Raw genomic sequence first — 15,362 nt, 5'->3', positions numbered from 1 at the left:
CTACAAAAACAGACAGATGGACAGACAGACGGACAGATAGACACACACACACACACACACATATACATATACCCTACAATGACCTATCTTAAAGCATGAACAGCTGTCTCTGGCAGCCAAGGAAGAGGAATCTCCTATCTTCCTATGGACAACACACCTAAATGTCCTGAATACTTTTCCCATGGACAAAATGTCATTTCTACAGGTTTGGCACTGATAGTCCCATTAGTTCCAAAACAGATGGCCTGGGAAGCCAACAAATAATCCACCAGGAGAAAAAAAAAAAAAAAGGAGGAGGGGTCTTATATTTTAAAGAAAAACACATCATCTTTTGAATACTCTGGAACAAACACTTGACCAGAAGTCCAGGAACCTGGGTCACTTTATGGGATTTGGGGAAAGCCTTTTAATCAGTTTACCCACACGTATAAAGAAATAATGCAATCCCCCCTGCTGGCTCTTTGCTTTGTATCTAGAGCGTTTAAGAGTTACTTAAACTCTCTAGGTCTTAATTTTTCTAATGTGCAAAATGGGGATGCTGTTGGTCGTCTCCCAGGTTGACTGAGAACTAAATGATACGATGTGTGTATTTAGCAAATATGAGCCTACAACAAATGGTGGTTAACAGAAGGTATAGTATTATACAAAGTCAGCTGTTCAACTAAAAGGACACAAAAGAAAACTAATACCTCAGAGCTGTGATACCCAACATGGAAACTTCTGAGCATGTGAAATCTAATTAGTGCCATGGAGGAAAGGAATTTTTAATGTTATTTAATTGTAATTAATATAAACTCAAATGTAAAAAGTGCTACTTGATTTACTTGTTAGAAACCAATGTTTGGAACAATTGGGGTATGTGAATCTCATTTTTCAAAGGTAAATTATATTCAATGATGAAAATAAAGATCAAGTGTCTGGTGAAAATTTCACATCCAAACAGAGATGTGCTGTAAGTGTAAAATACTGGACTTCAGAGACTTCATATCATAAAAAGAATGTAAAATATGTATCATTAGTAATATTTAGAGAGAATTCACGTTGCAGTGATGTTTTAGACAAAATACATTGCTAAAATTCATTTCATCAATTGCCTCATTTTTTAAAATGTGGCAACTAGAATATTTTTAATTACATACACGGCTCACATTCTATTTCTGCTGGACAGCACAGTCTCAGAGAATGCTAGAAAGCCGATGTTAAAGACCTTGTATGTGACTTCTCATTTTTATGAACTGGCATTTATTGTAAGCAGAGTCATGGCCACAGCTCTCTCTTATCAGACACCCTGTCACACGTACGTGACTCCAGGACCGCCAGTGCTTGTCAGTGCTGACTTAGGCTACGGTGACCTACGAGGAAGCTAGAATCAGCTGGCACAGCTATCCTGGTTTCCTCTGCCATGCACAGAGCTATAAAGGTAGCCAGGCTCCATGCAAATCAGCTGTGAGGATCACACCAGCCACCCTTTCACGGCCCTTCCCCAGTGTGATCCACAATGATTACAGACAGCAATAATTCAACATCTGTTCATCCTCAGCTGCAAGGGCCGAAGCCAGGATGATTAATGCTCTGGTAATGAGGACAGAGTAAAAAATATTAATCTTTATAAAAGGTATTCAATAAGCATTATCAGCTTATAAATGCCCAAGCAGAATATCTGACCATAACCCCATTACAGCTCTACATTAAAGCAAGATGCAAATACAAGAATGAATTTGTCCATTGAAAACATTCATTTTTATGAACAGAGTAATGTACTTCTTAATTTTTAGTTTGGTCACATTAAATAAATGATCCATAAAGTGCATTTAATAACTCTGTGTTACATAGAACTGAGATCCAGAATAACACTTTTCCTAAGAATTAAACAGTAAGAATCATATACATGGGGGGTGTTTGCTATTCATCTTGTATAGTCAATTGTCTTATTTTCCAACCATCTAAGAATCCTGGACCCACAGGTTTCAACATGTTCACGTGCTTTCCTCCCTCCATTCAAGTCTTCAAACAACAGAAATACAGAAGACGGTGCCGACACTGGAAGGAATCGCAGAGCCATCTCCTTAGCCCCACACTTCACAGATGTGGGAGCTGGGAGCTGAGTGAAGGGACCTTCAGGACTGCACCTCTACGCACCATCGGAGTCAGAATTATTAGATGTCTATTCCGGCCGGGCGCGGTGGCTCACGCCTGTAATCCCAGCACTTGGGAGGCTGAGTCAGGAGGACCATGAGGTCAGGAGATAGAGACCATCCTGGCTGACACAGTGAAACCCCATCTCTACTAAAAATACAAAAACAAAATTAGTCGGCCACGGTGGCAGGCGCCTGTAGTCCCAGCTACTCAGGAGGCTGAGGCAGAAGAATGGCGTGAACCTGGGAGACGGAGCTTGCAGTAAGCCGAGATTGCGCCACTGCACTCCAGCCTGGGTGACAGAGCGAGACTCCGTCTCAAAAAAAAAAAAGCCTGATTCCTCAGCTGGAGCCCCCAGAGTAAAGGACCCATGCAGGTACACGTGTGTGTAAACCTGTATGATTCAGGCATTTTTACATAACAGACGCAAAGCAAATTTTTCAAGAATCATTCTAACCTAACAAGTCATGAAAGTTAGCAGTACCAGAGAATAAATCAACATCAAGTTACCCTTGGTAGGTCACTTTTCCTTTCTGCACCTTAGTTTCCTAGTCTGTAAAATGGAGTAAACACAAATGGCCTGTACAGTGTTTCTGTTCCAAGCTGCCCGACAGTACCTTTTACGTGTTCTGACTGGAACAGGGCCACTGGGCAGAGGGCTGAAATTGTTAGAAATGCGGTAATCTGCACTTCACTCTTGAGGTATTCAGTATCATGGAATTTGAAATGAAAAGGTGACAGAGCAAGTAAAAGGGTGTTGGAAATTGGAAGGAGGGGGCACAGTAGCACGTGGACTATTGAACAACAGGAAAAAGAAGTTTGTCAAATATATGTTTTCTGGACATCGGCACAAGGCTTTGTAAAAAAGCGAGCCATCCTTTAAAGGAAGGCAGTGGGGGAGCAGATATTTTGTATCTTTTACTCTGGAAAACTAAGGATTAAACTTCCATTACTCTGTTAGTAACAAGTTGTCAGAGGGAAGAAATTAAAGAAGAGCCAATGGAGAAAAATTGCAAATGAGTCCCATTTATCAGTAGATGAAAAAATTGGCAAGATGCAAGAAAAATGCAGAAAACACTGTGTGAGAAGAATTGGTCAGGCAGGAAGTCTGTTTTCTAGGTGGAAGGGGGTACATCAAGGATGTGGCTTGTGTTAAGTTCAGAAAGAATTTACAGGGCTGTCAGTCTGCAGGCAGGATCTCACCACATGGAGGATGAGAAAACTGAGAGAGAATATACAGGGCTGTGGAATGGTGGGTATTTTTTAAACCAGGAGAATAAAGGTAGCAAAAAAACATAGGTCTTGGCCCATGTGGTCCTGCACAAACTCCCCTCCTGGTTGCTCTGACAATAAAATACATATGTCAAAACCCTATATTGTGTTGCAGTTCATCTTAGCGGAAGGACTGTGCACCCAGGGAGGAGTTTATGCCCAAGAAAAGACAGAGGTCCTAAAGCAGAACCTAGGAGACTGCATGCTGACCTGGGGCTCTTTCCACTGTCCCAGGCTAGTTACTGTAGACAACACATCATGCAGTTACAGAAATCAGCTACCAGGAGCTAGAAGAAATCATGTACTAAAGAGACTCAGGGACTTGCTTTCCTGGTGCCCAGTGTGCACATGACTAAATACAGCACAACCAACACAGTCTCTTCTCAGATCGTTCTTCTTGCATTCAACATCCAGCAACAGGAACAGAAGCCCACCCAGAAGTGACAGCAGAACTCAACAGACGATGATAAAGTTTACACCAACTATACCATAAACTGTTGGCACCACCAATTTGATCACAGATAAAGGTCCCACACAGAAAGAAGAGAAAAACTATTAAAACTCCATGAACATATAAGCACAACACTGTATACTTTATACATTTAATTTATTTGTATGTTTATTTATTCACTTATTTGTATTTTGTCTTGCTCCATATGGCATTTGAAGTAAATTCAGTTTTCAGAATGCATTACTCATATGGTGGGTGTGAAACAGTTTAAGAAAAGAGTGGGCTGATAGATTTGTAAGAAGCCACCTCCTCAATCAGCACCACGGCGGTGGACAGCTCCCTGCCAGGCTTCTGGCTGAACTCTGGTGTCCTTATCTGAGCATTGAGATAATCACTCTTTTCCAATTCTACATTTTTAAGTAGATGACTCTGAAGACTCTCAAAGGAAGCAAACTCGCTAATCAATGGTTCTGAGCACACGGAAGATATTCAATGAATTATGATGGAATTGAAACAGAAACAATTAAAAACCTGAAATTGAGTTCACCCTCCTACATTCAATAAGTCATTTCTAAAATCCTGCAGTGTTATAACAAATGGTCTTTTCAAAAACATATATAATGAAAGACAGAGAATGATATACAGAATGAGGGATGAAAAAGGTGCAGTATTACAGATAAAAAGTTTTCTCAAGGCATGAAAGAAACAGAAGAGAAAATGATGTTTACATTCCACCATTATTTAAAAGAATCAGTCTTCAGGGTTCACAGCTGGTACCGTTCATCAGAAGTCATCAGCACAACTATCTAATTAAAGTACTGCAGAATGCTATATGAGTGGTACATTAAGTGAATGTGGCAAAATTGACCCCAACCCCAATTTTTCCTTCTGCACAACATCTATCAAGTTAACAAAACTACTGCAGAGTAGCTCCAGGTTTAAGATCCCTTTCGATATATTTCTATTTTCCACAACAGTAAAGCTCAAGAGATTTTATTTTGGTTTTTTTAATCAAAAATGCTTTTATCAAAACATTAAGAAGGTATATTATGGGTTTGTTTTAAACACGCAACTTTTCTATAATTTAAGGCATAATAAGTTTATTAATAGGGTAATTTTTGAGATATAAATTTCTATCATGGATCAAATCACAATGATAATAGTGTAGAAATCTGACTTCAATATTTCCTAATAGCTAGTCCCAGTAAGTGTCTGGGATTTTGCCCTCAGATTTCAAAGGGCTGCTGTAACTAATGTTTCCACCATTAAAAAGGAGAGTTTTACTCTGCTTGATAACTAGAAGAATCATTCACCTTGAAAATAAGAATAAGGAAAATAATTTAAACTTACCAGGCTTACACTTTCAAGAAGCTCAAAAATGAAAGCAAATGAAGTTTGAAAAGACTCATGAACACTGTCTACAAGGAGCCTGTTTGCTATAGTGAAGGGAGGAGCCCCAGGAGAGCCAGGGTATGAGGGAATGGCCTCTTTCCCATTCCTACTCACTGCCAGAGTCCAACCACCAGAAAAACAACAAACAGACAAACAGAAAACTACACAGAGCAGGCTTACAGAAAAGCAATCTATCTAGAGTATCCAACTATTTGCAAGACCAAAAAGGGGTAGCCTTACCACTAAAATTTACTCTCAAAGTCTCATACTCCCATCCAAAACAAACTAAGTGAGGACAAAATGATAAGTACACAGTAAGCTCCAAAGAAAACCTGTCCACTGCTTTGGCCACTATAGAAATGGGAATATGGAAAAATTATACCTTGCAAAGCAAATAAGTGACCCAGTGTTCATTGAAACAAGCTTCCCAAAGCTGTCAGATTCAGAAAGGGGCCAGTGGGTGAGAGAACATGTTCCAGGAGGACTCTCACCTCCACTCAAAGGCTTCTTACAAGTATAGCCAATGCTCTTTACTAACTTAAAAGTCAATGTTAGCTCAGCTTGATTCATTTTATTCCAATTTCTATAACATTAATGTTACACAATTTTGTGAGCTTAAATCCTAAACGTCAGTGTTCTAGTGTTTAATTACACTAAAACTTTTCATTTCTATAAGATTTAAGCTTTAATTTTCACAGCTTTTGTCAGCTATGTGGGCAACAATATAATCACATGGAAACAAAGCTACAAATGCACAAATGATGAAGCTTTGACTTTTCCTTCTCTTTGTATCTATCTTGCTTTGAAAATCTGCTCACTCCACACCACAGATTATATGCAAGAGTCATCTTTTGGTGAAGCATGTAATCTATCAACCAGCTTTCAAGTAGTCAAGTCACATGGCGAGACAAAGCTTAAAGCCATCACAGCCTATTGACTCTCACACACACTGCCCATTCACTGACTCACACACAGTATGCTAATGCATCACAGGCCCTCTACCTCAGCAAAGGGCCAGGGGTGGGAACATCCAAGGTGGATGCCTTATCAGCATGGGGATCAGCTCCTCTGCACAACCTCTTCTTAGGAACACTGTTTGCCCTCTGTATTACCACCATACATTTAAAATGACAAAAAATGGAATGCTGTGATGGCAGAGATTTGCCTCAAAATATCTGGGGGACGGGCATATAGATAAGAAAAGATGGACTGGCCGGGCGCGGTGGCTCATGCCTGTAACCCCAGCACTATGGGAGGCTGAGGAGGGTGGATCACGAGGTCAAGAGATCAAGACCATCCCAGCCAACACGGTGAAACCGCGTCTCTACTGAAAATACAAAAATTAGCTGAGTGTAGTGGCATGCGCCTGTAGTACCAGCTACTCAGGAGGCTGAGGCAGGAGAATCGATTGAACCCGGGAGGCACAGGTTGCAGTGAGCCAAGTTCGTGCCACTGCACTCCAGCCTGACAACAAAGCAAGACTCCATCTCAAAAAAAAAAAAAAAAGAAAGAAAAAAAAGGATCATGAGTTGATAATTTGTGGAGCTGAGTGATGAGTACACTGGCATGCATTACTCTCTTCTCTCTGCCCTCCTGTATATTTGAAATTTTCCATAGTTTTAGCCAAAGGTATAGCCAAAAGGTATCTTGAATGCACAGATCTGAACTGCACCCCCCTCCTATTTCCAGAAAACAGGAATGATTAGATCAGATGCAAATAGAAGAGCATCTTGATTTTATAAAACTGCTCAGAGAAGACTCTTCACACCTCAAGTCTCTCACTCTTCTCCCTCTCCCTTTGCTCCTGATGTTACTCCTCCTCTAAGACCTCTCCTTTCTCCCCTATGATCAATTCATTCAATGCTAAGACAAGGAAAGATTGCCAATTTCCCCATGTGAATCCAAACCTTTACCTCCCTTCAATCAAGTCAACTACACATGTGTGTAGCTGGTCCTGCTTCTTTCTCTGTACTGCCTCCTGGTTAGGAATACCCATAAGCATTTCATTCATTCAATAAATATCCATTACAGGCATGCTGAAGCCAGGCATGCGCTAGGTACCAGCAGAAGAGCAAAATCTAGATGAACAAGGCCCAGCTTGGAAAGTTCTCATCCTATGGAAGGCCTACAAATAAGCAAGTAAGAAATACAATGATTCCACATGGGGGGCGTGCCATGAGGAGCCATGAGGTGGCATGTAGGGGGCTTTTTAAGCAGGGCAATCACAGGCCTCTTGGAAGAAATACTCTGTGATGGTTAATTTTAAATGCCAAATGACTGCACCACGGATGCCCAGAGAGCTGGCTGAACATTATTTCTGAGTGTGTCTGTAAGGATGTTTCCAGCAGAGATTAGCATTGGGATTGGGGGACTGAGTCAAGCATGTCCATCCTGCAGAGTGTGGGTGGCCATCATCTAATCCTTGAGGGCCTGGATAGAACAGAAGGGCAGAGGAAGGCTGAATGCTCTGTGAGCAAATGGCCGCAGTGACGCAGGCCTGGTGTCCTCATTCAGGCCAGTCCCACATGGACTGGACCACACAGAGCTGTCTTGCTTTGACAAGCCCAAAGACGTGCCTCCTATGAAGCCCAACAAACTCAGGATGCACCTACGGTTTCCATGTTCTCCAAGAGAGAGAAATGGGGAAAACAAGGCCAGAAACAACCAAGGCACTGTAAGGCCTGGCCTACTGGGACCCAGACCTGGCAACGAAAGGCTTTTCTGCAGAGGAACAACACCAGTTTCAGAATTCACTGCCAGCCTCTTGCAAACAGATCTACTTGTCATTATATCAGGCGGAGATAAAAAGAAATGTTTTAGTGCAAAGCAACCAGTGGGTCTCTTTCAGTGAGTAAGGCAACACACAAGCTGAGAAGCAAAGACTTGGGAATCTCACTTCACCCAGGGAGCCCCCACGAAGGAGCCTGGAGGACACATACAGTGACACATTCTGAACACATCCTCCAGAGGATGTTTACTAAGGGCAAGTGCATTCAGTGGCACATGCAGCTAAATCCAGTTATACCAAGTTCTAGAAATCTGAACACAAAGAGAGTTCATTTGACTGATTCCACTGGGATCAGGAAACAGGACAAAAACAACCACATTTGTACAAATTAACAAGAAACAGGAAAAAAGCATGAAAATCAGATTCAACATGTCTCATCAGAAAACAGTTTGGCTTTAAATTGTTATACCAAAGGTGGCACAGAATATTTTGCAAAAGTAATGACATCTTTTGTAAGAATGGACCAACTGGAAGATTTCTGGTGATAAATCTCTCCTGACCAGGAGGTAAGATGTCTGTTGGCTGCTTTGAACAAGCAGAGAGCTTGCAGATGAGAAAAACAGGTTGTTTTAAGAAAAACGCTTAAAACTCAAAGACAGTAAATGGGACCATTTTCACGTTGGCCAAAGCATTCCGAAATGCTTCTAGGCAACCACTAAGCATTTAGAAGTACATTTGAGCTGCCAGTTACAGCTTAGACAACTTCTACTGATGGGGCAATTCTGGGGCTGCTTGTAAGACACGAAGCTTCGGGCTAATTTTGGTTCATTTAGCCCACAATAATTTGGGATTCATATATTTCATACAACCTCATTTACTACATTGGGTACAACTTGCTTATACTAAGATCAAAATCCTAATTCCGTACTTAAAAAGATGACAGCAGGTTAATTATTTCAAAATATTACATGACCTGGTAATTCCATATTAAACAAAGCTAAGCAGTTATTCACATCCTGCATACTTCCAAAACAGGACTTCAGGCTGTCTAAGATAAAAGGCTTAGAGAACAAGAATGAAACAGAAATGGGGCATAGGAAAGAGGGACAGAACACAATTACAAACACCTAAGCTAACAAAATCATCGAATATAAACAGTAAGTTTCCTTCAAGCTTTCTACGACCTAAAGAAATGAGCAAGTTTTAATAGAGGAAAAAATATCTGGGGTCAGGCTCGGTGGCTCACGCCTGTAATCCCAGCACTCTGGGAGGCCGAGGCGGGTGGATCATTTGAGGTCGGTAGTTTGAGACCAGCCTGACCAACATGGTGAAACCCCATCTCTACTAAAAATACAGAAATTAGCTAGGCATGGTGGTGGGTGCCTATAATCCCAGCTACTCAGGAGGCTGAGGCAGGAGAATCATTTGAACCCAGGAGGCGGAGGTTGCAGGGAGCTGAGATTGTGCCATTGCACTCCAGCCTCGGCAACAGCGCAGGACTATGTCTCGAAAAAAAAAAAAAAATCTAATTGAATCTTTCATGGCTTACATCCTTATTCAAAGAAACTAAATGACATACAGAACAAAGTTTTGCAACAGAAATTTAAAAATATATGTAAATATATCCTGAAGAAGATCTTCGTTAAATCAACACTTAAGAAAAATCAAGCACAATTCATCGACAATTTACAACAATTGTTATTCATGGACGGTTGACACTCATTGACAGCTGTTAATTTGATGAAGATACTGATGACGGTAGTGCTGGTGATGCAGTATGTCGCTGTGTGTGTCTTGGCATTGAATGGTTAGGAGCATCAGTAACCCACCTAATAAGACCCAGATATAAAATTTTCGGAGGATTTTACTTGCTGTGGTACAAAGCTTATTCACTGTAGGAGGAAACCCTGAAGCAGGGTGCCTGGCCATCACCTCTATCATCAGCCTTTCCTTAAGCCCCCTAGAGTACCCAAGTCTTGGAAAACACCTGGTGAGTGGGCAATTCAGTTTCCAGTGAGAAACTGAAATATGGACAGTCAGGAATAATAGCTCAATGGAGCGTCATGTGCTTTGAGTCCCAGACCATGGTGAGAACTGACTTTCTTTTATGAAAGTAAGAAGTGGTTTCTGACTAAAGAGAGAGGTCTACATGGAGGGGCTGCAGAAAGTCACCCACTTCTTGGTTTGATGTGTTTTTTTCTAGAGAAGAACACTCTCACCTAAATGAAGTCAACATTTTCTTTCAATATTAGCCTTAGCAACACGTGTACACTCTGGTGCATTTTATAAGGTTAAGCCAAGAAAGAAGATTAAAATTCGCATCCCAGAAGGCACAAAGGACCAAGCCAAGCACAGAGTGTGTTCCAAACCCAGCCCGTAACTTAACAGGGACATCCCAAGTCTGGGATCCGTGAAAGCACAGGGGAACTGAGAACAACACCAAGAATGAGGACAACAGAAAATGAATGGAGCAGCCAAATGTCCAGGCACAAATGGAATCGAATAAATCCATGCTTCTCAGTCAGAATGTCACTCAACAGACTTCACATTTGCCTCCAATAAATGAGGAAGTTTGTGGAATTATGCAGAGGTTTTAAGCTTTCAATAAAACTGCTTGACAAGGGTAAAATATTAATTTAATCTGTCCAAATAGAAAAAAAATGATTACTAAAAAGGGCAGGGAGATAACATAGGGAAATATAAAGTGTTCTGCAGGATAAATGAGTTGAAGAATCATTGAAATTCTTATTACTTTGAGTAGGATTTGAAGAAATGCTGTCAAAGAATGCAAAGTTCAGAATAAGATAAAACCATTACTTTCAGATTTAAAGAAAACTCGAATTCTTTTCCTTGCAATCATCACAATGGAGCGAAGTGATTGCCTCCCCAGGACAGACAACCACATATCTTAAAGGCTACAATGTATGCTGATTACCCTAGGACTTTGGTGTATACCTAAATTACAAACTACGAGCTTTTGCCTTCATTTCTCAATGATCTATTACCTGCATTACATGTCAATTACCCTTCTCTTGTAAGGGCTAAATCTTCCTGTCTTGTAATACAGCAGTTTTAATTGGTTGCAGCCTCTACTCCTTTTGTCAAGAAGAGGCAATTCAGAGGGTCAATGTCTTCAGAAAATAAATAACAGGACAAGTGAATAATTCTTGGGGTTCCACTCACCATGCTGTGTGAAGAGGTCACTGTGGACGATTTCGATCAAGCAGTAGAGTTTCTGGATGGTCAGCAAGCCCATGGGAACATTGAGGATGAATTCAGTAAACATTTTGCTGTGAGGAAAAACACAAGGGAAATAATTTTGAGACACATAGCAAAAGGATCCAATGTTGTTACAATACTGAGATATAGGTCATCACATGGTCATTAATGTCACCAGTATGTTCAACACAGCCTCTCATGCACTATGGGGTCAATAACTCATTCCAAGAAATGATGTTTTGAAAGTGTTCGTTTTCACTTCACAATCACTAACGTGCCTATAATCCAAAAGACAGACAATAACAAGTGTTGGTAAAGATATAATGAAATGAGAACAGTCACACCAAGCTGGTGGGAAGGTAACACAGCACAGCCACTTTGGAAAACAGTTAGGCATTTCCTCAAAATGTCAAACATAGTCACCATCCACTTCCAGGCATATACCACCTCCCCGAGAAAAAATGAAAACATATATCCACACAACAATTTGTCCATGAATCCAAGTGGCATTGTTCATTATACTGAAAAAGTAAAAAAAACACGAAGTCCATCAGTTAATGAATGGATGAACAAAATGCAGTATAGCCACACAATTCATTTCCAAAAACAAGGAGGCACTGATGCTAAAACATGGAGAAACCTTGAAAACTTTATGCTAAGTAGAAGAAGCCAGTACAGAGGCCACACGTTGTATGATTCCAGCTCTGTAAAATGCCCAGAAAACACAAATGTGTAGAGAGAGAAAAGAGATTCGGGGTTACCTGGGCTAGGAAGGAAAAATGACCAGAAATGGACACTGGGATCTTGCTGGGGTTATAAAAATGTTCTAAAATTGGACTCTGGTGATCACTGCACATCTTCGTAAATATACTAAAAACCACTGAATTGAACCGTCTACAATAGGTGACTTTATCGTTTGTAAATAATACCACAATAAAGCAATTTTTTAAAAATACACTTTTACAAAAGGCTAACAGACCTATGAAGAAATTTTAGAAGAGCTCTTGTTAGTAACTACATAAACACAAATTAAAATGGGCAGATACGGTTTCACCAGTCATACTGGCAAGGTTCTATAAAATGGTAATTCCCAGTACCAGCAATATTTTGGGAAAACAGACACCAACGTATACTGGTAGAATGTTGGTTTTACCTTCTGGAGGGGGACGAGTAGATAAAATCTACTGAAAATCCTTTAAGAAAATGCAAAACCAAGTAATGCCATTTCTCTTTTTATCCTAATGATATAAAATAGGAGCAGAAACTACAATTAAGCTACAGGAAATTTTATCCTAGCATTTTATAATATATTTTTTTTAAAAAAACTTGAATACAACTCAACAGCCATCAGGTAGCACAGTAGCTAGAGGCCTGTTCTTTGTATTCAAAAAGCCCGGGTTGGCCTTGAACCACTGCCATTTACCAGCTGAATTATCATGGACAAGTTATTGAGGATAAAATTCGGCTAACAATAGAACCTATGTCATACCATTGTTGTAAAGATTAATGGACTAATACAAGTGCTTTGTGCAAAACCTATTTTACATGGTGAAAGCACATAATAGATGCTGCGTCTATTGTTGCTGCTTAAAGATAGGCCAGCATGGGATGGATCGGCATGAAAGTTACTAACAATGATGATGCAGAAGATGCCCTCGTGGCATGGGAGAGGAAGATGTCTTAAGTGCAGGAGCTGATCACAAAGAATGGTGACTTTTCTTTTTTTTATTTTTGAGACAGAGTCTTGCCCTGTCACCCAGGCTGGAGTACAATGCCGCGATCCAGGCTCACTGCAATTTCTGCCTCTGGGTTCAAACAATTCTCCTGCCTCAGCCTCCTGAGTAGCTGGGATTACAGGCACCCGCCATCATGCCCAGCTAATTTTTTGTATCTTTAGTGGAGATGGAGTTTCACCATGCTGGCCAGGTTGGTCTCGAATTCCTGACCTCATGATCTGTCCCCCTCGGCCTCCCAAAGTGCTGGGATTACAGGCGTGAGTCACCATGCCTAACCAAAAAATGGTGACTTTTTTAAGTGTGTGTGTACGTATGTGTGTAAGGGATCCAGCACTTTCTGATTCTTTTGGGTAGTGGACTTAAGTTTGAGTTACCCTCTTCTGTCATCTCTTCTGTTTATTAAAACATGAACCAATTTTCTAAATAGAAACAAATATGTATGTGATTTTCAATGTCATTTTTAAAAATCAGTGTAACAGGCATTGAGGAGGAACACAGGGATGCACAAATCTGAGAGAGGCCAGCAGCAGCCTGCATCGGCCCTGGCCAAGCAGGTCTTCCTAGGACCTCCAAGCACACGGCTCAACCACAAACTGTGAGCGTCAATGATACCCTCCATCGGTGAGGGGCTAATTTGTGCGTACAGTGAGGACAGGCCCGGCTCAAGCGCAAACTGAGAGTATCGACGATACCCCTCCGCGGGTGCGGAGCTGATCTGTGTGCACCATGAGACAGGCCTAGAGTATGGCCACAGCCCACACCAGTTGCAGCTTTCTCTGCTTCCTCTCAGTTTTTCAAGACCTGAGCTACTAAAATATGAGAGAGCCCTGGAAGCACCTGCACGGGGAGGGAGGTTGTTAAAATCAAATGACCAGGCCCCACTGTGCAGTTTCTAATTCAGAAGGTCTGGGGAGGAAGCCAAAGTTTGGCTTTCTCTAACAAGTTCCCAAGGGCTACCGGAGCTGCCATTTTGGGGCCCGCTCTTGGAGAAGCATGTGCCAAGGAGAGGACTCTACAGCGCGCCAGGTGGGCAGACACCGCCCGTGAGCCTGTGTGTTTCTCCTTTTCTCATGTAGGACCTGCTAAGCTTATGACCAGCACTGTTGGTGCCCTGGGAGCAGAAAATAAATGTTTCCCTGCAGGACACTAAATCCTAGGGAACATCAGATTCACAATGATTCGTGGGGGACAGCGCCTCCCAGAGAGCCCCTCGCCCTTCAATTCCAGGGCACGAGTGACCTATGGTAGACATAAAGTACAGGAAGGATAATCATTTTTTATTCCGTTTCACCGCTCAGTGGACAGATGGCCCTTTACTAATATTTAGGAGGGCTTCATTGGCCGGTAAAAAATGGTGTCTTCACCCACAGGTAGTTTATTGTGTCAAATCAAAACCAAAACAAAAAGTAGTTGAGGACTGTGCTATTGAATGTCTGGGGTTTAAACGACTGTGCATCCCTGGGGTGGGAGCGGTGGCGCACGTCGGTAATTCCAGTGCTTTGAAGGCAGAGGCGGGAGGGGTGCTTGAGGCCAGGAGTTTGAAGCTGCAGTGAGCTATGATCGCGCCACTGCACTACAGCCTGGGCAACAGAGTGAGACCCCTATCTCTTAAAAAATAAATTAAAAAGGCTGTGTATCCCATTTGCTCACAATGGCACTTTCAGAATGCAGTGATACCAACAGATTAGGAAACAAACAGCACACCTGGCCACTGAGAGGCGGCAAGTTAGGGAGAGAAAAGGAAGGATTTGGTGTCCAATCTCACTCCTTGGTCTGAAAGCCCAGTGACCAGCTTTCTCAAAGTTTGTTTGTGGGGTTTTCTAAAAATTATTTTCTTAGTAACTTCTGAGTCTTCTGCTTGAGGCTCAGGGCCCCTCCCAAAGAGGAGTTGCCTCTATTACAGAAGCAGAAGCCGGCGCAGGAATATTAAAGCTCCTATGTCAGGATTTTTAGGTGCTGAAAACAAGAGCAAAACCAACAACCACATACTGAAATTCAAACCTCAAAGTATGCAAAATGCCAAATGGACATTATATACCAATTAGACTGTAAACAATCTTCTTAAAAAATGTTGTCATAGTTGACTGGTGATACCTTTTCCACATAATGTCATGATTATCAAAGAGTCACAGACACCACCAGCAACACATGTTCCAGAATGATCCAGGGCACTGACATATGGAGACATGAGGCAGAACCCTGAGCATCCCATAAACTAAGCACACTGAGAAGGAGGTCACACACGGCACGTGACAAGCATTCGCCTGGGCTGCATACTTACCTGAGCTCTTTGGGATCAAACACCAATTTCACATCGTTGACGATCGTTGGTAAGTATTTCAGTGCTGCCCCCTGCAAATCAAGAAACAAGAAGGCTGAGCAGCATGCAGGTTAGGGAGTGTTCATACCAATTTGTAATCCTTATGAG

At 41.6% G+C, this 15,362-nt stretch overlaps 1 protein-coding gene across 24 annotated transcripts in view; it reads right to left on the bottom strand.

Annotated features, from left to right (window-relative positions):
* DOCK1 (dedicator of cytokinesis 1) overlaps positions 1 to 15,362 on the bottom strand; it is a 547,089-nt gene that overhangs the window by 331,000 nt on the left and 200,727 nt on the right. For all 24 annotated transcript variants that reach the window (XR_007061946.1, NM_001377544.1, NM_001290223.2 and 21 more), the window contains 2 exons: positions 15,216 to 15,286; positions 11,163 to 11,269 (listed from right to left, as the gene is read on the bottom strand). Coding sequence is in view for 23 of the 24 variants with exons in the window: in NM_001377544.1 (NP_001364473.1) it covers positions 11,163 to 11,269; positions 15,216 to 15,286 (178 nt within the window). In the remaining variant the exon portion in view is untranslated. The remainder of the gene's footprint in view (positions 1 to 11,162; positions 11,270 to 15,215; positions 15,287 to 15,362) is intronic.

The sequence above is a fragment of the Homo sapiens genome, chromosome 10, assembly GCF_000001405.40.
Source record: "Homo sapiens chromosome 10, GRCh38.p14 Primary Assembly".
Lineage (NCBI taxonomy): Eukaryota > Metazoa > Chordata > Mammalia > Primates > Hominidae > Homo > Homo sapiens.
Note: the sequence above shows the minus strand (reverse complement) of the source record. Positions and strands in the feature narration are given on the sequence as shown.